The sequence below is a fragment of the Homo sapiens genome, chromosome X, assembly GCF_000001405.40.
Source record: "Homo sapiens chromosome X, GRCh38.p14 Primary Assembly".
NCBI lineage: Eukaryota > Metazoa > Chordata > Mammalia > Primates > Hominidae > Homo > Homo sapiens.
In genome coordinates this window covers 70,267,434-70,290,087 of record NC_000023.11, presented here as the reverse complement: position 1 = coordinate 70,290,087, position 22,654 = coordinate 70,267,434, and the positions used below count along the sequence as shown (strand labels likewise).

The 22,654-nt window shown below is 45.1% G+C and overlaps 3 protein-coding genes across 12 annotated transcripts, besides 1 other annotated feature; 1 reads left to right on the top strand and 2 right to left on the bottom strand.

Annotated features, from left to right (window-relative positions):
- Positions 4 to 183: a silencer, noted in NCBI's record as "silent region_20889". NCBI's record gives its function as "represses an Ori minimal core promoter by ATAC-STARR-seq in GM12878 lymphoblastoid cells {active_cell/tissue: GM12878}" and the evidence as "EXISTENCE:reporter gene assay evidence [ECO:0000049][PMID:35858748]".
- On the top strand, positions 161 to 3,493 carry PDZD11 (PDZ domain containing 11). Of its 7 annotated transcripts, none has more exons than NM_001370174.1 (8): positions 161 to 228; positions 495 to 566; positions 734 to 833; positions 1,575 to 1,658; positions 1,915 to 1,971; positions 2,258 to 2,356; positions 2,752 to 2,812; positions 2,972 to 3,493. In NM_001370174.1, the coding sequence occupies exons 3-8, from the start codon at positions 747 to 749 to the stop codon at positions 3,004 to 3,006; spliced, it is 423 nt and encodes a 140-aa protein (NP_001357103.1). In that variant the 5' UTR covers positions 161 to 228; positions 495 to 566; positions 734 to 746; the 3' UTR covers positions 3,007 to 3,493. The 7 variants fall into 7 exon arrangements, with proteins under 7 accessions (NP_001357103.1, NP_001357104.1, NP_057568.1 ...); NM_001370175.1 differs by having other exon boundaries at positions 467 to 566; NM_001370177.1 differs by having other exon boundaries at positions 228 to 259; positions 467 to 566.
- RAB41 (RAB41, member RAS oncogene family) lies at positions 5,086 to 7,916 on the bottom strand. Of its 3 annotated transcripts, none has more exons than NM_001363807.1 (8): positions 7,747 to 7,916; positions 7,497 to 7,555; positions 7,233 to 7,286; positions 6,715 to 6,820; positions 6,464 to 6,575; positions 6,045 to 6,138; positions 5,759 to 5,822; positions 5,086 to 5,500 (listed from the first exon to the last, which is right to left on the bottom strand). In NM_001363807.1, exons 1-8 carry the CDS (start codon positions 7,868 to 7,870, stop codon positions 5,445 to 5,447), a joined length of 669 nt encoding a protein of 222 aa, NP_001350736.1. In that variant the 5' UTR covers positions 7,871 to 7,916; the 3' UTR covers positions 5,086 to 5,444. The 3 variants fall into 3 exon arrangements, with proteins under 3 accessions (NP_001350736.1, NP_001027898.2, XP_011529250.1); NM_001032726.3 differs by having other exon boundaries at positions 7,497 to 7,552; XM_011530948.4 differs by having other exon boundaries at positions 5,086 to 5,822.
- Positions 8,205 to 21,754, bottom strand: ARR3 (arrestin 3). Of its 2 annotated transcripts, NM_004312.3 has the most exons (17): positions 21,716 to 21,754; positions 20,695 to 20,732; positions 20,396 to 20,426; positions 20,185 to 20,245; positions 19,944 to 19,988; positions 13,807 to 14,006; positions 13,596 to 13,655; positions 13,352 to 13,419; positions 12,559 to 12,694; positions 12,288 to 12,372; positions 11,950 to 12,022; positions 11,447 to 11,584; positions 9,810 to 9,893; positions 9,506 to 9,529; positions 9,270 to 9,322; positions 8,980 to 8,989; positions 8,248 to 8,412 (listed from the first exon to the last, which is right to left on the bottom strand). In NM_004312.3, exons 2-17 carry the CDS (start codon positions 20,700 to 20,702, stop codon positions 8,322 to 8,324), a joined length of 1,167 nt encoding a protein of 388 aa, NP_004303.2. In that variant the 5' UTR covers positions 20,703 to 20,732; positions 21,716 to 21,754; the 3' UTR covers positions 8,248 to 8,321. The 2 variants fall into 2 exon arrangements, with proteins under 2 accessions (XP_047298061.1, NP_004303.2); XM_047442105.1 differs by lacking the exon at positions 21,716 to 21,754 and having other exon boundaries at positions 8,205 to 8,412; positions 19,944 to 20,012; positions 20,695 to 20,702.

Here is a 22,654-nt window from a genome sequence, read left to right as displayed (position 1 = left end):
TAACCGCCAAGTTTCAAATCCGTCCCGGAGACGCCAACCAATTGCAGTGCGGACTGCCCGAGGGCGGAGCGCGCACGTCGGCGCGCGCAGGCCGGCGCGGTGGGAAGGGGAGGGTCAGCTCGTTGCACCCTGGCCCGGCCTCTTTTCGACCCTGCGGAGCATCCGCTTCCGGTTCCCAGACTGAATTGTCAGTGAGCGGAGTCTGAGGTCGCTGTGGACTGCCCACTGGTGAGGTGGTGCGGCGTTTATGCGGCTGAGAGTGCGGGTCTCAGGCAGAATGTGGGGCGGGGACGTGGGAGGTGGCTGGTCAGGTGAAGGAAGGGTCGATCTAAGGACCCTACCATTACTAATCACATCTAGGAAATGTGGGGCGGTGCCTTGCCCCGAGTCCCTGCGGATAGTTAACACTCCCTTGGGCTTCGAAAGTAGATCTTTTTAGACTCGACCCTGATTTCCTCTTCTCCAGGTTTGAGACGGTAACATCTGTTTTGCAGGATTGTGAAAAATGAGGTCCTCTTTCTAGAGTACCTGACAGGTTGCTTGGCATCCAGAAGATGTTTAGCTAAGTTAAGAGTTTTCTTCTGTCTTCCTTCTCTCCTCCAACCTTAACACCTAGATATGGGCTGGGCCTGTAGACTGACTGCCTTGGAATGGGTTGGAGCTGCTGTCTGAAACTTGCTGGGCTGCTCTCCCTTTTGAACCACTTTTTGTCTGTTCTGATTCACTCTTCCAGGGCCTTGCCCGAGATGGACAGCCGGATTCCTTATGATGACTACCCGGTGGTTTTCTTGCCTGCCTATGAGAATCCTCCAGCATGGATTCCTCCTCATGAGGTGGGAACCATCTGTATTCCTGAGTAGGAGATTTTTTTCCCCGTGGGCATGAGATGATGCATGAAAGGTAGGATAGCAGGGTTAGAAGGCGAAACGGAGAGTGAATCTTAGCACTTGTAGCCAGAGGACCCAGAAGCTGGATTCTGAGCAACAGGACCCATTGGGAACTTCTTTATGGAAGCCTCCTGCTAGGGTCTGTTCACACCGGTTAATTCTGGAAATTTGGAGCCTTCATTTCCATACTGTTAAGAGGTTCAGCGCGGTGGCTCATGCCTGTAATCCCAGCACTTTGGGAGGCCGAAACAGGCGGATCACCTGAGGTTGGGAGTTCGAGACCAGCCTGACCAACATGGAGAAACCGCGTCTCTACTAAAAATACAAAATTAGCCGGGCGTGGTGGCACATGCCTGTAATCCCAGCTACTAGGGAGGCTGAGGCGGGAGAATTGCTTGAACCTGGGAGGCAGAGGTTGCGGTGAGCTGAGATTGAGCCATTGCACTCCAGCCTGGGCAACAAGAGCAAAACTCCATCTCAAAAAAAAAAAAAAAAGGTGAAGAAATGGGGAGCTACTGGGCTGCCCCAGTGCTATCCATCTACTCATTTAGTCTGTGTTATCTGTTCTACTTAAATTAAGTCTATGACCTTTCCTTTTCCTGACTTCAGGGTAATTCATTAGTGTTTCAGATGAAGGTAGGTGTGAAGTAAGACTGGTAAAATTTCTGGGGTTGCTGTGTCTTGCAGAGGGTACACCACCCGGACTACAACAATGAGTTGACCCAGTTTCTGCCCCGAACCATCACACTGAAGAAGCCTCCTGGAGCTCAGGTGAACTTATGAAACCTTATTTCAGGCTAGATTCATCCATACCACAAATTGGCAGTGTTGGGGGGATGGATTGGAAAGCAGGTGCAGATGTGAGGAAACTTTCCTTCTTGTGGACAGAAAAGCTGAGATAACACTTCTGCAACTTCTGACTTTCCTCTCAGGGACACACAAGCTGAGCTATTGTACGATGATGCTACTAGTTGTTCTTGTGTTTGTGGTCTCCATTGAGCCCCCATTCTGTGCTCTTGTCTTACAGTTGGGATTTAACATCCGAGGAGGAAAGGCCTCCCAGCTAGGCATCTTCATCTCCAAGGTATTTATGCCCAGTAGGCAATATGGATCGTTACTTCCCTTTGTTAAATTAACAGATTGCAGAACCCTAATGTCCCAAGGGCTGAGAGGATGACTCTGGATTCATAGAAGGGGTATAATGGAGACACCCCCTTTCCCACTTAAAACTTTTCATTTGGCAGGCCATCTGTCTGCATACATTGTCACAGAAAAACAATAGCACCATACATTTGAATAGCACCGAATTTCACTGACAGTCTTCTGAAATTATCGCATCCCAATCACATGTATTCTCTCTTTACCAACAGGTGATTCCTGACTCTGATGCACATAGAGCAGGACTGCAGGAAGGGGACCAAGTTCTAGCTGTGAATGATGTGGATTTCCAAGATATTGAGCACAGCAAGGTGAGCACAGTACTTGGGCTGTGGTGCTGCAAGAAGCCATCTCAAATAGGACAGATTGGACAGGAGTAGCCTAATCTGTAACTTAATAAGAAAGCATTTTGCTGGGCACTGTGGTACACGCCTGTAATCCCAGCTACTTAGGAGGCTGAGGCGGGAGGATCACTTGAGCCCAGGAATTTAAGACCAGCCCAGGCAACGCAGCAAGACCCTGTCTCAAAACAAACAAACAAACAAACAAAAAGAGAGAGAGAAAGTAAGCACCTCTCCTGGGAAAGTACAGGAGGGAAGCAGCTATTAGTGACACACAGGTTGGAGTGGCAAATCCCTTTCCCCCTATTATGATTCTGTCTTGGGTCATATCTCTTCATTTGTACAAGCTGCTGTGTTCCTTCCAGGCTGTTGAGATCCTGAAGACAGCTCGTGAAATCAGCATGCGTGTGCGCTTCTTTCCCTACAGTAAGTGCCACTTTCTTTTTTCACTTTCCTGACAGGGCCCTAAGTAAGAACTCTTTAAATACTGATGACTAGAGGCCCTACAAGTTGGGGATAGGGAATCAGGAGCTCAAGCGTGAAGATAACCTGCTCTGTTCCTCCTTTTCTTCTTCTTTCCTTCAGATTATCATCGCCAAAAAGAGAGGACTGTGCACTAGAAAGTTGCAGCCCACAGCCCTTCATGTGGACTCTGTCATGACATGCTAACTAGACTTCAGGGGAGCCACTTCTGTTTTCAGCCCCTCCCTGGAATAGTGAGTTGGGAGGATGGGGAGACAGCTAACCAACTGCATTACCCAAACCATATTGCACTTTTAGTTCCCTAGTTTTCTAGGTGAGCTTCATTCCCTGAAAGGAGGATGATGATATCTAGGCATAACCTAGCCTGTGAGGAACCTAGTTAGGAAAGACAACTGACATTTATTGAATATCATGCACTAGTCCCTTACATATGTCATATTTTAATTATAGAAATCAGTAGCAAAAAGAATCTTGGGGATTTTCCATCTGACTTCCCTGGCCATCTTATCCCATCCTTGCACTACCAGAAGATTCATACACTTTTGAGACTCCAGTGAGACGCTGTTTTCACCCCTTCCTCCTCCTAGCCTCTCTCCCAAAAAGTAAAACACAATGCTGAAGAAATATTGGTGTGACTTTTGAATGTTACCGATTGGATGTAAAATGCTATCGAGGGAAGAAAAAGCTCTTCCAAAGAGAGGAGCCACTGGAAGGAACAGAGCAATACTATACCTTCCTCGCAACTACCTGTGATGTCTGACCAGAACATTAGCAAGGCCAAGGAACTTTAACCACAGTATAACTAAGAAATGGCATAGAGTGAGGGGCACTGAAAGAAACTGCCCGTTCCCCTAGGAGCTTTGAGCATTTCTCTGCAGGGGACAGTAGTAATATAATTCTCTCTTCTCCTTTCCCACATTCTTTGATCTGGAACATAAACTAAGGAAGGGGCTTAGATGCATTTCTTTTCTGAGGCAGCAGTAAGAAATTGGTTCACAGTTTCCAACTTGTAAGTTGAGTAGTGCTAACTGCTGACTTCTCCCTTTTCTTCACCCCAGCCCCAAATAACATTCTGCCATGTTCCTAGATCTTTAGTTACCAATCCACCATTACAAGATTCCTAGTCATGCCTATGCCATCGCCACTGGCATGTTTAAAATACCCATTTGGAATTGAAAGTTTTCTAGTGTGAGGCTGGGCGCGGTGGCTCATGCCTGTAATCTCACCACTTTGGGAGGCCAAGGCAGATGGATAGCTTGAGGCCAGGAGTTCGAGAGCAGCCTGGCCAAAAAGGTGCAACCCCATCTCTACTAAAAATACAAAAATGAGACAGGTGTGGTGGGACACTACCTGTAGTCCCAGCTACTCGGGAGGCTGAGGCAGGAGGATCATTTGAACCCTGGAGGTGGAGGTTGCAGTAAGCCAAGATGGCGCCGCTGCACTCCAGGCTGGGTGACAGAGTGAGACTGTCTCAAAGAAAAAAAAGAGTTTTCTAGTGTGGTGTGGGGTGATGTACCCCTATGATGAAGTCCCAAAATTTGCCTTGAAAGAATCCTGGGGAGCTTAAATATGTATTTATAGGCCCTTCTACTGGACAATGATTCTGTTAGTCTGAGGTGGAATCTGGAAATCTGGATTTTTAAAGAAGCAAAGGAAATAAGTAAATAAGTCTTCAAATGTAGGAAACATTGTTCTAAATAGTAGTACTATACTGTATGAGGAAGGTCTGGTTCTTCCTATATATCCCACCCTAGCTCTACTGACATACCTCTTCTAGAGCCTCACTGCTATTGTTAGGTGGCAACATCCCTTGAGAGCAGAGCTGGAGGTAGAATTAATGTAGCTGTCCCTATGCTTCCTGGGAAATCCTGTTCTATCCTCCTATTTGCTGACCCCATGCCCCGCATTGGCCACGAAAGAAAGAAAATAGTAGCTTGGTTACTTCCATAAAGGCATGTTGGGTGACTTGGCTGAATGTTGAGGTCCAAGACTCTTCCTGTGGTTAACAGGTCTTAAAACATTGTATCTAAGAAGTATGAAAAACATGGTAAAAAGTCCCAGCCAGGTGCCATGGGCCTAAGAGGCAAAAACCCTCCTGCCTTAAATTGGTTCTTGTTTGAAATACTTGGATTGGTTCTATGTTAGGGCACCAACATGAGATAATTGCATTGTGGAAATATAGGTATAGTGTGGAGAAAGCACAAGCAATAACAGCCTTAGGTTAAAGAACCATTTATTGAGGGTGTAGGTAAACAACAACAAACAGTGGAGAATGAATTGTATTGGCCTTTGAAGTATGTCAGCTGCTGTAGAACTGTATTCTCTACAGATGTCTTTTAGCTGTCGGAGAAGGTAAGGTAGAATTCCCAGGTGCTGCAAGAAGCTTCCACCCAGTAGCTGTGAGATGCGGTCAGGAAAAAATGATAGCACTTTCAGGGGTTCTGTTTTTACCCCAAGCCTAGGAATTGGAAGAGAGTAAGTGGCCATGTATCATAAAACGAGGTGGGGAGGAGAACTGGTATGGCAAGCCCAAATGTAAGAAATCCATCAAATGAGGCAGAGAAAGCCTAAGCTGTCAACAATAGCTTCTGTTGCCTGACTCCTCGAAGGATTCCAGTTCGATTTCAACCGCTGAAGTGTGTGTCAAGGAAGCTAATACAGTGAGGTGACTGGAGTCAAATCTTAACACCCAAGGTCAGCTTCTAGGAGATGTAGAAGAGGAATTCTGATCTTACAATCCCTCTCACCTAAAGGCAAACGAAGGAACTACTTTGGGCTAAAGTTAGTCCCATTTTCCCCTTAGGTACCACTCAGGCATCAACTCAGCAAGGAAACTTACCTTCTCTACTTGTATACTCCCTACCCCAGCAAAGCTAGGAAAAAGGATACTCCCCTCTTTTGGTGGAGGTGAAGTCCTTGTGGAAAGAAGGGCAGAAGCCACACGCCGGAACAGCTGTGTGTGTGTGTGAATGGGGACCAAAAAAAAAAAAAGGGGAAAAAAAAAAGGTCAGGTTCAGAGGCTAGGATAATTCAGGGCCTTTGAGATACATGATGGGGAGATGAACCTTGACCCCTATCCCACAAAAGATAAGCCAAGCTTATCCAAAAGAGTAAACAGTAGTAGTAGCTACAGACAGAGCACAATTAAAGTATCATAGAAAGAAACAAGTATTACCTTTTTCACGTTGTAACCGGTTTTGGCACTGGTCTCAATAAACATCACATTGAGGTTTCTGGATTTTTCTTCACCCTGTTCTGCAGTGACTTGTCTGGACGAATCAGAAATGATGAAAAGGGCCAGAGTTATTGGATATGGATAGACTCTTCTGAGGTGTAATGATGCTTACCTAGGGCCAGGAACCCTAGAAGCCTTAAACCCATGACCCTTCTGACTACAGGGTGGGGACTCTCTCCTATACCCCCAACATATCCTTGTGCCCTGATGGGACGCCCCCCTGTCCTTCCCATCCTGCAGTGCTGGTAGGGGGCAGAGGGGACTAAGGTAACTCCTCCCCAAGTAAATAGAGGACAGTTGACCCTCCCCATAGAGACTGAATTTTAGGTATGCCAGAAGAAGTTGTAGTTATACTTTACCTTTTGTTATCCAAATCAATCTTGTTACCCAACAACATGATGACAACATCGTCACCTCTTTCTGCTCGCACGTGTTCTACCCACTTATCTGTCTCCTTAAAAGAATTGATGTCTGCAAGAGAATATGTTCCAGAGCGTTGAAACATTTAGGAGAGATTTGGAGAGAACACTTCCTCTCTGCTAATTTTGTCAATCTCCCTATCAATCCCTTTATAATCCCCTTTTCAAATAAAACATTGCATAACACCCACTTGTAATGTCATAGACAACCACTGCAATAGTTGAATCACGAATGTAGCTAGGAATTAGGCTGTGAAAGCGCTCCTGGCCAGCTGTGTCCCATAGCTGCAGCTGAACCTGCATAAAAATGTTTAGGAAGAAGATGGGGGAAAGGTAGACAAGAAACTAGCCTTTTTAAAAAGCTCAAACCTAATAAAGGCAGAATACAAAAGGTCAGGTAGACTGGATCCCTGAGAAGTGGCTGCTATAGCCTCAGACCAAATGGCCTATAGTCCTAGGACAGGTCCAACCAATTTCAATATACTGTTTTGATTCAGGAAGACCCTACAGCACAGCAGATTTAAGGATTCAAGGTCTCTTGGACTTTATGTTACAGTTGGAGATTAGATGAAGGCAGACAGAACAAGAAACATCATAGGGCTTGGTAATTTGAAGAGGCTTCAGTTTTTTTTGATGGTGCTACCCAACTGTGATGAATAGGCCTAAGGGGTTGAAGTGTAGGGTTAGTGGTATGAGAGTTAACACTCACTATTTGGTCCTCCAAGTACATGGTCTTAGACAAGAAGTCAATTCCAACAGTTGCCTGCAAAAGAAAATCAGATACACTCCAGCATTCCCTCTATTCCCAATATGAGGCAGTCTTAGAACCCAAAGTGGAGAATGACCCTTCAAGAAGTTGTCCTGGCTCCACTTCCCAATGCTTACAATACATAACTTTGAGGAGGAGAATCTCCAGGTGAGTCCGCCAAGAAGAGTGGCAAAAATGTACCATATGACTCGGTGGTGGTCTTACCTGGCAGGCGCAGCCGAAGCTGTTGTACATGAAGCGGCTGATGATGGATGTCTTCCCTACTGTGAGGGAGATAAGCAGGCCAATCGTCGCCCTCAGTGCCCTTTCTCCCCTCAAAGTTTCTATGAGCCCTCCCTCCTCCTCCAACTCCAATCTTTCCCAACGAGGAGGAACTCGGTTCCCCAGAGAATGCCCCACCCCATTTCATACCAATTACACCTCCATGTCCCCAAAGCCCAACCCAGACCCACACCGCTCTGCTCTCCCAGGAATAAGAGTTTAGATTTGCACAGAGACTGGTATTCCGTTCTTTCGGCAGCCTCCAGACCAAAGCCTCCGGCCTCCATCCAGGCCTCGTCGTGACCAAAGGCAGACATCGCTTCAGGTAGGTTGCAGCCAAAATGGCTTCCAACGCTCAGCCTGAGCCGCCGGACTTCACGCCATGCTCTACTGACGTCGGCTGACGGCCATTGGCTTCACACCCAGGCCTGGGCATGGCCACGCCCCCTCGGCCCCCTCCTGGCAGCTTGCACTGCGCCTGGTGTTCAGCGCAATCCTATGACCACTCGAGTGGGGTCATGGGGTGGAGAGAGGGATGGCCACTGACCGTGTCAGAGGGAAGTTGGGGTCAGCGTATGGGGAAAAGCACGGGCTAAGTGTAGTGTAATCACAGCAAAGGGGTGGAGGTGGGGAAGATTGTTCTCAGTAGTTCCGTGACCCTCCAGGAAGAGGAAATAGGCAAGAGATCGCTAGGCACATCTGAACAAACTGATTTATTAGAGTGTTACAGTGGGGGCTCCCACACAGACGGGCACCAGAGCGAGGTGCTCAGCTCCCCTCATCTCCCTCAGCCTCCACAGCCTTCTGGCTCTCCTCCTCGCCTTTCCGCGTAAACTCCTCGATGACTATGTCCTCAGAGCTTGCAGAAGCAGCAGAAGAGAATGGAAGGTTAGGAACCCCTTTCTGGGTGTCCTCCGTGTCCACTCTTTTTTCCTGATCCCAGAAAAGTGATCCCCTCCCTGCTTCCCAGGTAGGCTCCTCGGCCCCCTCTTGGTGTCCCCACTTTTCCATCAGCCACTCTGGCTTGTTTCCTTTCATTCCCGCCCAAATTTCCCAGCACAAAAGTCCCCCAGGAGCACTGAAAGGGACATAAGGATGAGGGATGGGAAGGAGGGAAGGTATCAAAGAATGAAAGACGAAAGAAGTAAGGGCGAGCGGGTGGGGGAAAAGGAAAAAGAAAAATGGGAAGGGGATGAGGGGGAAGGATGATTCCAACAAGAGCAGAAGGTGGAGGGCGGGGGGATGCAGAAAGGGAAAGGAGGGCATATGAAAAGCACCGAACTGTGACACGAAGCTAAGCCATATGTTTCCACTGCACATGTATTGAAAGCACCCCAAGGAAGCATTTTCACATTTCTATCGTCATAACATGGAGGGTGGAAATGGGAAGAGGGGAATGGGGCTTCCCAATCTTGTATTCCATTACCTAGCGGCCTCTGTAGCAAGCATGGAGACGGAGGGAAAAAATGGAGCTGAAGCTGATTAGAGGCTCTTCGGTTCCCTGAAGAAGTATCTTTACTTCCCCCCCCCCCAACTTCCCAATCCTTTGCTCCAGCACACACGACACACACACTTCCCCTGAATACCTAGACACCCAGCCTACCTATTGCTATTCCATCCCCAGGCAAACTGCTAGTCTCCAATTCATGAGATCAGAATGGTTTGGACCCCAGCCCTCAGGACAGCCGTCCCTGTGAGTTCCACCTGGTCACTCACCATGAGATGGCTTCGGATGGATCAGGACCAAGGGTAGCTCCACACCAACATCGCTGCAAGGATCCCAAGGTGGAGTTACATCTCCTCTCTCTACAAGCCCAATCCCTGAACCTCCCTCCCTTAGTTTTCCAGTCTTTGGATGCCCTCAGACCCTCCAGAATCAATCATTATTTTGCTCTCCTTATCCCCTTGTCCTCCTCTTCTTGCCCAAGTTCCCCCACCCCACAGTCTCTCACCTGGCTGTCAGGTCTCCTAGGATGCTGTGGGTAGAATGACACCCAAAATTAGCAGCGGGAAATAGAGAAGGGGCAACCTAGTTTCACAAGGGGATGAGGGATCATAAGACCTAATGAGCCAGCCACAGAATGGGTTTCTGGAAGGGAAAGTGACTTGCTCACTGAGCTCACAGGTTTGGGAACCTGGTCTGGGAGAAAGGGTGGGGAATGGTTTGATTGGGTCAATCTAACTGGGAGAAAAACAGAGGCGAAAAGCCCTTGACTCTTCAGCCCCTGCCCAGACAGACCCAGAACCCTCACTTACCCACCACAGGACACCATCAGGTTGACTCTGACTTTGTAGGACACCAGGATCCCCAGCAGCTCTTTGTCCATTCCCGGTCTAATACTGGAGGTTGTAGTATTCGTTTTAGGGTGTTTGGGGCATGAAGAGTAATTCATTCTGTCCCCAGTTTCTTCTCATGCATTCCTATCACCACACCCTATTATGTTTAGTCTTATCCCAGAATATCTCCCAGGCTCTAACCTTTCCTACCCGTTGAGACCACATTTCTCTTCCTGACATTCACTTTTACCATGTCACTCTCTGCTCAAGAGCCTACCTTTTGAATATAACAACTACTCTGCCTGACTTTCAAGACCCCTAACAACCTTGCCCTATCTAGCCTCTCTAACCTTTTCTCCCCTAACTCCTGGGATACAACCTAAGCAGACCCATCTTCTCTCCGTGATCAGAACATGCCATGTGGATTCCCACCTTCTAGCCTTTGCCCATGCTGTGTCCCTAGTCTACAGTGCTCCTTTTTTTCCTCTGTTGGTATCCAGATCCTTCACATTCTTCAAGATCTAGCTCATTCTACCTCCTCCAGGAAGCCCTCACCAGCTCTCCTGGCTTCTTTTAACTTTGTTGCGATTTACTCTGAACCACGTGTACTAACATTTAACTGTTGGGTTGTATTTGCATCTCTCTTCGTTCCTCATCTAGGCCATAAATTGACTGAAGGCAGAGACTGTCTTAAACTTCTTTATATTCTCCACATTGCTTAGCATAGGAAAGAGCATGTAATAGGGGTTCAGTAAAAAACCCACTGATTGAAAAATAAGACAGCGAAAGCTGCATGAGCTTGAGAAAATCTCTTCATTGCTCTGGGCTGCTGATCTCTTACATATAAAATAATGCAGTTTGGATGATTTCTAAGGGTATTTCTAGCAATAACAGTCTATAGCTACTTGATTGAAAAGACGTATGGAGAGATGGAGGGATTACACTTGACAGATGGTGGCAGGTGGTTTTTGGTGGAAGACACATCTAACACTAGGGCCTCCGAAGGCACAGGACCAAGTGAATGACTTCCTAGAATTCTATTAATTCCTGTTGCATCATTTTCCTTTTTTGTCCTCCTTTTCCTCCATTTCTCATCTCCTAGTCTTCTACTCCATCTTTATTTTTTCTAGAGAGTAGCTTCTGTAGAGATCACAGTATTCAGAGCCAGATGACATGTGATATAATCCTGTCTACATCTACCACTTATCAGCTATGCCACTTTAAGTGAGTTCCTTCTTCTCTCTGAGCCTCAGGGTCCTTAAGTGTAAAAGGGAATAAGAACACCTGTCCAGGCTACTTTAGTGGGATTCTCACAAAGATAGCATAGTACATATGTCGGACCTTTGTGAACTGTGAAATCTTATACAACATAAGGATTGTTTTCCTCTCCATGTTTTCCTTTTTTTCTGCCGCTGACCTAAGCCTGCCGTTGGTCCCACAGGCATTATTGAGCTTGCTGCAGGCCTTTAGGCCTGGAGGAGTCTCTGAACACTGCCCTAGAGACACTTTAAAAAACAGGTAGGCTTTACTGAACATGAAACCTCAGAGCTGTAAATGTAGCATGTGGAATGGTTGAGGGGTAGGAAATGGAGGCTGAGAGTTATATTTGAGCTTACATTGTGCTAGAGGCCAGGTTGGTATCTTCATGCTTAAGTTTGCCATCCAGTGCCAGGCCCCGTTTCTGGCAGCTGGCAGCCAGGATTGGGGTTACTGCAAAGCTCTGGGAGAAGCTGGAATTAGCAGCTACAGTCTCCCTACAAAAGAAGAACAAGAGAAGAATTTAGGCTGGGCTTGCTGACTAAGCATACTTTTACTCCCAAGAGTATCTTGTACAAGATTATACAAGAACCTACTGGAGTATCCAAGAGAGGTAACATGTTTAACTGAAGACTGGGAGAAATTAGTTCTGGTGGGAAATCCTTATGCCCCTGCCCTCGCTCAGCATCGTGATGGGACTCCTGGGGGTAAGTTGCATCCCCTCCATCTAGTTCTCCTGGGAATCCCTCCCTGGAATCTTCCACCACTCTTCTCCCCCACTCTACCCCCTCAACTGCCTCCTGGACCTCTTCCCACCACCCCACCCCTTGGCTCTCTGGTCCTAGCCCCAGCACCAGCTCACGTGAATTCCTGAATGAACACAGTCTTGGTGTACTTGTCTAGTGAATACAGGACAACATCTGTGATCTGGTCAACTGAACAAGCCAGGAAAAGCACATGATTATAATCAGTCAGTCATCCTTGAGACCCCAGCTCAGTGTCCTTAGATGTGACCTTATACATAGGCACACTATACATGATGCAGTGAGACATGCTCATTGACAAAACAAGATATGCATTTTGACAAGCCCATGTTAGAGGGAAAGCCTAGATGAATGCAGACAGGTAAGTGAGATAGAATTTTGGGAAAAGACCTGTGGCTTTGGGACCAGGTGCACAGGGATGGGAAAAGAAACTCACCTGAAATCTTGATTTTTTTGATGACCTTGTTGGTGCAGTTGTTGATAGAAACATTGACAGAGATGGGTTCTCCGTGGTAGTGAACCTAAAGCAGGAGCGGGGACCCATGTCAAGGCTGGAGGACGAATACGCAGATGGAGACCTAGAACCCCTGCTTCCTTAGCGCTATTGCCACCCTGGCTCCCATCTCTGCCTGCCCAAGTAGGAAATCAGTGAAGAAAGGGCATCAGAGGGGTTCTGGGGTGGGAGGCAAAAAGTGGGGGTCACAAACCTCCCTGTCCATCCAGGCCTGGAGTTGTAGGGGCTGAGCTGACAGAAGGAAGCGGCGGATGGTCTGGGCTGAGGGGCCAGGGCCTGCCTCCGGTGGTGCAAATTGTACTTTCCGGACAACCAGCCGCACATAGTCTCTGAGCAGAGACCAAGAGATTAGCCAGAGCGTCCTCCTTTCAGACCCACAGACCTCTCCCATGCCACCCCCATAGTCCAATTGTTGCTTAAGAATGGGAGCAGGGGAAGGCCTCCCTCAGAGAACTCCTCTAGTCCCTTAATGTAAGCATGTAGACCAAAGGTTATTAAACTATGGCCCACTGGCCAAATCTGGCCTGATGCCTGTTTTCCTATGGCCCACAAGCTGAGAATGGTTATATTACATTTGTAAATGGTTGAAATAAATCAAAGAACAATGCTATTTTGTGACATGTGGACATTACATGAAATTCAAATTTCAGTGTCCATAAGTAAAGTTCTATTGGACACACAGCCACACTCATTCATTTCTATACTATCTGTGGCTGCGATTGCACTACAACGGCAGAGTTGAGTAGTTGCAACGGAGACTATAGGGCTCAAAAAGCCAAATATTTCTTTTTTTGGCCCATTACAGAAAAGTTTGCTGACCCCTGCCCTAGATCAAAGAAGGTAAGTCAGAGGGGACTCAGAACCGGGTGTCACTGGTGGCGATGAGGCTGTGGAGGTTAGAAGTGGGGCTATTTCTGTCATGAGAGCAGGATCTGTTTCCTGGCAGAGGCTGGAGGCAGGGATTTTTGGGGACAACCAAAGAATACCTCTTGGAGACTGTCTCCTCTGGGTTTTCAGCACAGAAACTCTTCACTTCAAAGTCAATCCCACAGGGCTGTAAAGGGACAAGGGCAAAGAGAGCTCATTTCCAGTGCTGTCCTCCCTTCCTCATGGGCCTATAAGAAAATGCCTGACCTCTTTCCTTAGCTGTCCATTTCTCCAGTCTTGACTGTCCCACTGTTCCTCTTCCCTGGCACTACCTATCCCTCTTTCTTAGAACCCAGTCCTCACCTTTCCTGCATCTTCAGGACCTGGCTGCAGTGTCACAGAACAGGGCAGGTTGGTCACCATCTAGGGGACAAAAAGGAGATCAGAAAAGAAGTAGAAAAGAATACAAACAAATACAAAAGAAATGGGGAACCCTCTCCCTTGTTGTCCTTCTTGAGCTTCCTCTCTTAATCTTCCCTGGAGACCTTGCCTGCCCAGGGCTTGGGGTCAGTACCTGCAGGGTAAAGGGGTAGGCATTGTCCCCTAGCTTGTGCAGTAGTCGCTCCTGTAGGACTGTGAGGGGCCCCTGAGGGCTGCTGGATTCAGCTGGGACCACTTGCAGGGTCTGCACATACAGATCTTTTCGGAACGTCAGACCAATCACTTCCAAGTCATCACGGCCATAGCGAAAGGCACATGTCAACATGACAAACACTGCAGGCATAGGAGGAAGAGAGTGGTCTGTCAGGCCTGAGTGGGAAGGGGAATCTTAACTGGGTCAAGAAGACACAGAGAGGTGATGTAATATGATCGAAGGCTGGCTGGGCGCGGTGGCTCACGCCTGTAATCCCAGCACTTTGGGAGGCCGAGGTGGGTGGATCACGAGGTCAGGAGATAGAAACCACCCTGGCTAACACAGTGAAACCCCATCTCTACTAAAAAAAAAATACAAAGTATTAGCCTGGCTTGGTGGTAGTGGGCGCCTGTAGTCCCAGCTACTTGGGAGGCTGAGGCAGGAGAATGGCGTGAACCCAGGAGGCAGAGCTTGCAGTGAGCCGAGATCGTGTCACTGCCCTCCAGCCTGGGCAACAGAGCAAGACTCTGTCTCAAAAAAAAAAAAAAAAAAAAAAAAAAAAGATTGAAGGCTATGGGCACAAATGAAAAGATTCTTAATACATTTGACTGCAGTAAAATTTATGTTAAAAGTCTTTATAAAGTCTTCTTTATATTCAAAGTCTTTATAAACAAAGAAAAAAATGGAAAGCCTGGGAGAAAATCTTTGCAACACATATAACACACTGAAGTTTAGAGTCCAAAATATATAAGGACTCCCACACATCAACAATAATGCCAGTATAAAACTGTGCAAAGAATGTGAATAGGCCCTTGCAGAAGTGTGCAAAGTGTGTGAAGGAATGGCCAATAACATATGAAAACATGTTTAGTCTCGTGAGTAATCAGATAAATGCAAATTAAAACCACAACGAGATAAGATTTCACACCCATGAGATTGTCAAAAAATTTTAAATGTGACAACACTACGTGTTGATGAAGATGTGGAGCAAAAGGAGTTCTTACATACTGCTGGTGGGAGTATTAATGCAACCAATTTGGAAGACTATTTGGGATTATCCAGTAAAATTAAATCTGCTCGTAGAGTATGAGCTAATAAGTTGACTTTAAAGGAGCTTTTGTTCAGGAGAGATACATATGATAATGGCCGTCGCATCAACGTTTGTCAGAACATAAAACTGGAGATAATCTAAAAATCTATCAACAGGAGAATGGATAAAAAATTTGTGGTATATTCACATAATGGAATACTAAACCAAGGTTAAAATAAATGAGCTAGAACTTCAAAGAATGCCCTATGGTTTGTATGTGGCCTCTCCATAACTCAGGAGTTGAAACTTGATGGTCATTGTGATGGTATTAAGATGGCCATTAAGAGGTGATTAGATCATGGGGCTTCTTTGTTCATGAATTCCTTTATGAATGGGATTAAGACCCTTATAAAGGAGACCTTTTGCCCTTCCACCTTCCACCATGTGAGGACACAATGTTTCTCCCCTCTGGAGGATGCAGCAATAAGGCACCATCTTGGAAGCAGAGAGCAGCCGTCATCAGACAACAGAACCTGCTAGAGCCTTGATCTTAGACTTCCCAGCTTTCAGAATTGTGAGAAAATAAATATCTGTTCTTTATAAATTACCTAGTCTCAGGTATTTTGCTGTGGCAGCACAAACAGACTAAGACCTGTGCCAACAAGGTTAAATCTCAAAAGCTATTGAACAAGGCTGGGCGTGGTAGCTCACGCCTGTAATCCCAGCTCTTTGGGAGGCCTAGGTGGACAGATCGCTTGAGGACAGGAGTTCGAGACCAGCCTGGCCAACATGGTGATAACCCGTCTCTACTAAAATACAAAAATTAGCTGGGCATGGTGGCATACACCTGTAATTCCAGCTACTCAGGAGGCTGAGGCAGGAGAATCGCTTGAACTCGGGAGGCGGAGGTTGCAGTGAGCTGAGATTGCACCACTGCCCTCCAGTGGGGGTGACAGAGTGAGTCTCTGTCTCAGAAAAAAAAAAAAAAAAAAGCTACTGAACAAAAAATCTAGCTGCAGAATGATAGGTACAGTATGTTACCGGTTATATAAAGTTTAAAAGCATGTAGGACAATATCAAAGTTGATCATAGACACATAAATATGGAGTAGAAGTATGGAGCCATCAAGAGAATAATAAACACCAAATTCAGGGTAGTCGTTATCTGGGGAGGGAGGAGAGAAAGAGGAGAAGGGTTAAGTAGGGAGGGAGGGAGGCAAACTGGATCAGGGAAGGACACACAGGAGGCTTTAGTTTGTTTCTGTAATTCTTTTTAAAGCTTGGTGATGAGTACAGGGTATTCATTATATAATTCTGTATGCCTTGATAAATATTTTATCATGAAAAAGAGAAACAATAATATTTAGGGTCAGAATACCTGGACTTGAATAGGACTTGCACAAATCCCTTGATTTCTCTGGGTCTCAGTTATTACACCTGTCAATAATAGGACTGCTCTAGTAACCCTACATATGCCATTTAGACCTCAAAACAACCCTCTGAAGTATTATTATCTCCACTTTAGAGGCAAAGAAAGTGAGCTCAGAGCTATTAAGCAATGGTTCAGGATTTCAACCCAGGCCTGTCTGACTCCAAAGCTCAGGCTCATAGGTGCTCAACTTAACTCATAGGACAGTTGTGAGGAGCTGATGTATTCGAAATCCCTTTGGAGGCCGGGCACAGTGGCTCACGCCTGTAATCCCAGCACTTTGGGAGGCCCAGGCGGGTGGATAGGCTGAGGTCAGGAGTTCGAGTCCAGCCTGGCCCACATGGTGAAACCCTGTCTTTACTAAAAACACAAAAATTAACCGGGCGTGGTGGTGGGCACCTGTAATCCTAGCTACTCAGGAGGCTGAGGCAGGAGAATCGCTTGAACCCAGGAGGTGGAGGTTGCTGTGAGCTGACATCGCACCACTGCACTCCAGCCTGGGCGACAGAGCAAGTCTCCATCTCAAAAAAAAAAAAAAAAAAAAAAAAAGGAATCCTTTCGGAAACTTCAAAATAATTATAGATGTGGATGATGATGGTGATGATGATGATATTGACAGAAATGGAAGAGTTATAATTGAACTCATACTTTGTAACAGGTATCTAAGATTTGAAAGAAATCAAGTGAGAGGCGGATAGAAATCATCTGAAATGCGCTAATGGAATATAGAATGGAGTAGAGAGGGATACCTGTCCAAGTACAGGGTGACAGAGGTTGAGGCAAGGAAAGATGTAGAACAGGAATGGATAACCTTATTTCTATCAGGGGCTCTGACCCAAAGAAAAAATAAAAACTACCAACAGCAGCACTTGAGTAGAAAGCAACTTATTTTAGTATTTTTAAGAACTCAAAACATCAAACACCAGATTATTTGCTTTTAAAATTGAGAATGAGAAAAATGAACCTATATTCAAAAGATATAGCAAAGCCTGAAAGTATTGATAATATCAGTGTTTATAAGGACTGGGGCAATATGAGAAGACTCATGCACTGCAGGAGTGAGATTTAATTGGTATAAGCATTTTAGAGGGCAATTTGACAATAGGTATAGAAAGCTTTAAAAATGTGTGAATGCCTTTTGGCCATTAATTCCTCTTCTAGGCACTTAGAAAGAAATAATTGAACAAGTATGAAAAGGATGTGCATTACAGGGCGTTGTGGTATCCCCATATGATATAGTACTAGGCAACTTAAAAAGTTATAGATTTGTGTATATTGACATAGGTTTAAAAAATGTAAAATATTATTTTTAGTATAGCATTTTTAGTGAAAATATAGATATGTTTGCACAGAAAATATGAATAAATAAGATCAAAAGATTAGTGATTAAAGATGGTAAGGTTACACAGTCTCTCCTTCATCTATGTTTTCTAATTTTTCTACAATGGAGACAAACCTAATAATTTTCAAAGATACAGCAAATAGATTCACCTTGGTTCTCAATTATGGCCAATTATAGTGAGAGAAAGGAGAGAGAAAGAAAGGAAAATAAGGCACAAAGGAAAGGAAAAAGACAGAAAGTAAAAAGGAGAGGAAAAGAGGTGGCTGGTAGGAGGCAGGGTGAGAGAAGAAATGAAAAAGATGAGGAATGAGACAGAAAAAAAGGTCAGGATGGGCGAGGCAGAAGGGGATCTAGTAGCACCTGAGGTAAGGACGTTAATCAGATGACTTGTTCTTGGAATCGCTTTCTGTTCCTGTGTTGGGAAGGCAGCAGACTAAGACATCAACTGCATCACGCAACTCCTACCCCCAACTGAAGCTCTAATTGGCTCTCTAGCAGTTTAGAATCGTCCTTTTTTTTGCATGCTAGGAAATAGCTTGTTTTTATTTTCTTTTAAAGTCAGTATCTATTTTAAAGTTATTAATGTATAGTTGTGTTTATTCTACAAAATATATGTTAATTGTCTGAACATCAGAAAATACAAACAAAAAGACAAATCAAAGCTCCACCATAATATATCATGTTCCACAGATAACTACTGTTAATACCTGTTATGTGTGCTTCTCAACTTTGTCTGTTGCTATAATTGAACACAAGGCCACCTTAGGTATTTTTTACTTTTCTCTCATTGCCTTTTTGAAGTTAAACTTTGTATTTTGAGATCATTGTAGAGTCACATGCAGTTGTAAGAAATAATACAGAGAGAGATTCCAGATAGATTTTTGTTAAACAACAATTCGTTCACACCACCACATATACTGCCCTATCACTGGCCTTTATCACTCCACAGTATAGGGTAAGCATATTTTACATCCACAAATGTACCTTGATAGAAAAACACATTAGAAAATATGATGCAAACAAGACAATCTTCACAGAGGTAACAAACCATATTGAAAAACTAAGAATAAACAAGAAATATGCACAACTTAAATGAAAAGTAATATAAAACTCTACTAAGGGGACATAAAAGAAGATTAGAATAAAAGGAAAAATGCATCTCTTCCTGGAACAACATATATTTTTAACTAAAGATTTCTTTCCATAGCTTGTGAAGATTTTGTAGAAATGTGAAAAAATGATTTAGGTTTTAGAAATATAGAATACTTGGGAACCTTAAATAAGTTGGTTAATTTATGAGTCTATCCCAAAGTTCCTCTGATACTTAAAACCGATTTGATTGCTTATTTACACTGCTTAATCTGAGAGATTTAGGCTACTTTATTCTCCAATATCTAACAGTTACATCTGAACTAGTATTCATCAACCCATTCAGAGCCTTTTTCAAATCAAACCCAATTTTCAGTCTAGTTGGATCACAGTGGGGTTAATCCATAGTGAGAATTAAAAGGAAAAAAAGCAGCAAAAAAAAAAAATCAGCATAATCTTGATCTGTAATACTGCTGCCAGAGTAATGTTTCTTAGTGTTACTTCCTATGGTTGTTGTTTTGTTTCTTTGTTTGGGATTTTTTTTTCTTGAATAAAAGGTCAGCCAGTTTCCCTACACAAAAAAAGGAGATGGAAAGACGTATACCAGAGGTTACAAAATGACAGCCTGAAAGTCACATCTAGCCAACAGAAAAAAAAAAAAAGTTTATAATCTATCCAGGCTTCTAAAGTCTTTTAGTGAGTTGCTGACATTTGAAAATCAGGAAATTTGCCTTAAAATATGGATTTCTGACTTACTGGATCATTCTATAGGCAGTCTAAGATCCAGATCAATAGCCAAGCAGGGGCACCACCAGTAATAATAGAGAAAATCTGAAATTCTGAAAGAAGCTATTTTAATTTCAGCACAAGTGTAAGTTTTGTGTAATTTTGAAAAATAAAATTTAATTTATGCTTTAGATATTTACTTTGAATATTATTTGGGTAAGGGGGCACCATAATCTTTTCACACTTTGGGCCTCTAAAAGTCTTATTTTGAGCTTCGTTTACAGCTCCTCATTAACAATTAGAAAATTTGGCCACACTGGGCTGGAATTCCCAGTTGTCAGCCTCCACCAGAGAAGGCATTCGCAGTTCCTGCCACTTTCTGGTTTTGTTGTACTCTGGTGCAATCCACTCATCGGGTTACCTGTCTGAAACATACAAAGACCAACAAGGATTTCCACTTACACTTTCGACATTTTAAGTACTCAGGATCAACCAGGACAACACCGTCTGTGGAGAGAAGGACAGACAGCACTTTGGTCAGGAAAAACTCTCAGACTATGAAACAGAGGATGATCCCTGAAATGGTTCTTCCTATTCTTCCCTTTAATTTGCCTCCTTTTCTGCACGGTCTTTCCTGGACTTTCTTTTACTCCCTAGTTTCCATTCCTCTTTCCCCAGGCTTCCCTTTTTTGGACTCACTGACCAATGGGTTCCACCGTGTCCACATGGTCCACGAAGTCCCGTTTCCCCAGGTAGATGGAGAGCTGTTGTGGAACAACTTCCCATGTTATTCTCACAATCATTTTTGAATGGATTCCCCTGAAACCCCCAACCCAGACCCCTGAGACCTTGAAGGATGTACCCACCTATCCCTTTTGCCCTCTCATTTGCCCAGCTGGGCCAGGTTCTCTCACCTTCCCATTGGAGCTGGTCTTCTTAAACACCCTATGAGGAGAAAACCAGAAAGAGGATGGAGAGGGGGATTGGAAGTGCAGGGAAGAGGAAATAAGGGAATTGGGGAGAAAAAGAAATATTCTTAGGATTAGGAGAAGAGGCTCCAGGAGCATAGGATGGGGCAAAGGTAGGGATAATTGGGGTAGAATCCAAGGACACAAGTTAGGGAGAAATTGGAAATCCCCCTACCCCAAAGGGAAATACTTGGATTGGGGTAGGGAGCAATTCACAGGTTCAGAGGATTAGAAGGAATTCTTACTTGGACATGTTGGCTATATAGTTGATGTTGAGCCTTTTCTGGGAAAAGGGAAAGAAGAAAGGCTCAATCATTTCATTTCTATTCTTCTCACCCCACTCCAGCATACCATCCATATACACCTAGTGTGATGTAACCTTTCCTCCTTAGACAGACACCTCACCCACATCAAGTACCTCCTATTCTCCCTTCTGCCAAGGGTACTTCTTCAGCCATATTCTTGCCCATCTTGGGCAAGAGGGGAAAAAAACCTTCCTATTTTGTACAAATCATTGACTAACCATACTATGTATTCTCCAGAAAGGGCCAAACTTCCTAGAATGGCTGGGGAACTCTTGAGAACCCTGAGAGAGAAGGAACTTCTCTGGAAAGAGGCTGGACAGAGGCTTCCATCCAGAAAAGTGTGAGAAAAATGTGTTTCTTGGTCTGTATGAGGCTAGACATCCCCTGGCACACACTAGGTGCCAAGACATGTTTGTTGGATACATGAATGAATGAATGAATGAATGAATGAATGGACAAATCAATGGATTCTGTCTCCTTCTGCTCCTGCAATGGATCCTGAACCTGAGTTCACCTCATGATGCCCTTGACTCTCAACAAAGAAGGGAGAAAAGTGTGAGAGAGAAGGGGTTGGTGCCTTCATGCTCTCAGTTTTTGGTGACAGAAGTCTCTATGGAGGTTGAAAGTCCTCCTTGAACCAACTCATCCCTCTCATTGCCTTTCCTAGATTTTCCCATCCTTATCCCCATCCAGGTCCCCAGGGGCTAGGCCTTTGGATGGGAATCCTTAGAGAGAGGGAGATGTCTCTCTAGTGCTTTCCTTTGATGCTTACTGAGCCTGGCCCAGGGGGTGAGCTTAGGGGAGCTTCCAGAGGTCTTTGGAGGGTCTCTAGGCCTGAATGTCTATAGGCTATGTCAGGAAGGGTGTCCCTCAACTGCTGCCTGATATATTAAGAGGGATGCTAAGAGCAAGGGATATAGGGCTTAGTATGGGCTAGAAGTAGAGGGCTTTGGAATATTACCTGGGGAGAGAGATGAAGTTCACATCAGTCTCCAGCTCTGGTTGCTATGCCTGCCTCCCCAGCCTCTTATACCCACAGTCCTCTGAGTGTTTTGATTGGTGGGGGTCATGGGAAAAGAATAGGGTTCTTGGTGGGGGGGCATAAAACACTGCTATAAATAGTTCAGGTGCCAAGAGTTTGGAAAGCAGATTAGTGCCTAAAAGATTAGTGGCTAAAAGATTAGCAGGCTATTGCTGCTGGGACAGAGTGGGGGTAGGAGGTTGATTCTGATGATGTTAAAGGCAAGGGAGTTTGAGAAGGGTAACTTCAGGATTTTGGCCTTGTGAGGCCTTGAACCTGAGAACTGGGATCAAAGTGGAGTTGGAGGTCTTAAAGGTGAAGCATGGTGGGGGATTGAAATGGGAGGGCTCAAAGTATAGGCCTTTGTGTTTTTGAAAGGAATACCTCGTGTCCCACTCCAATCTCTATATCAGCGGCTCCAGGCCACACAAAAGCCAAGGGTATGGGAAAGAGTACCTCGTCCCCAGCCCCCCACCACTTTGGGACATTGGACTTTTGAAGCTGATGTTTAGAAACCCTGATTATCCCAGCTTATGTGCACAGCAGGAGTCAATCTCCTGTAGGTAGTGGGGGCAGGAGTGGTGGAGGGGGATCTGAGTGCATTGAGCTGTGTATGCACATGTCTGTGAGCCTTGAACTTCTCTTCTCATTGGAGAGGAAGGTAATATAAGATTCCCAGCCCAGGGACAGGTTCTTCTGGCAGGACATGCATGTGGAGGGAATAGGCGGTTGACATCTGTGTCACCCCTACCGAGGGTAAACCTCCTCACCCCAGCTCTTGACTCTGTCCAATCCCTGAAACTAACTAAGTCCATGCTCTAAGCAGCTTCTCTTGCCTCGTATGACCGCTCATGGAATTAGAGATATTTCTGTCTCTTC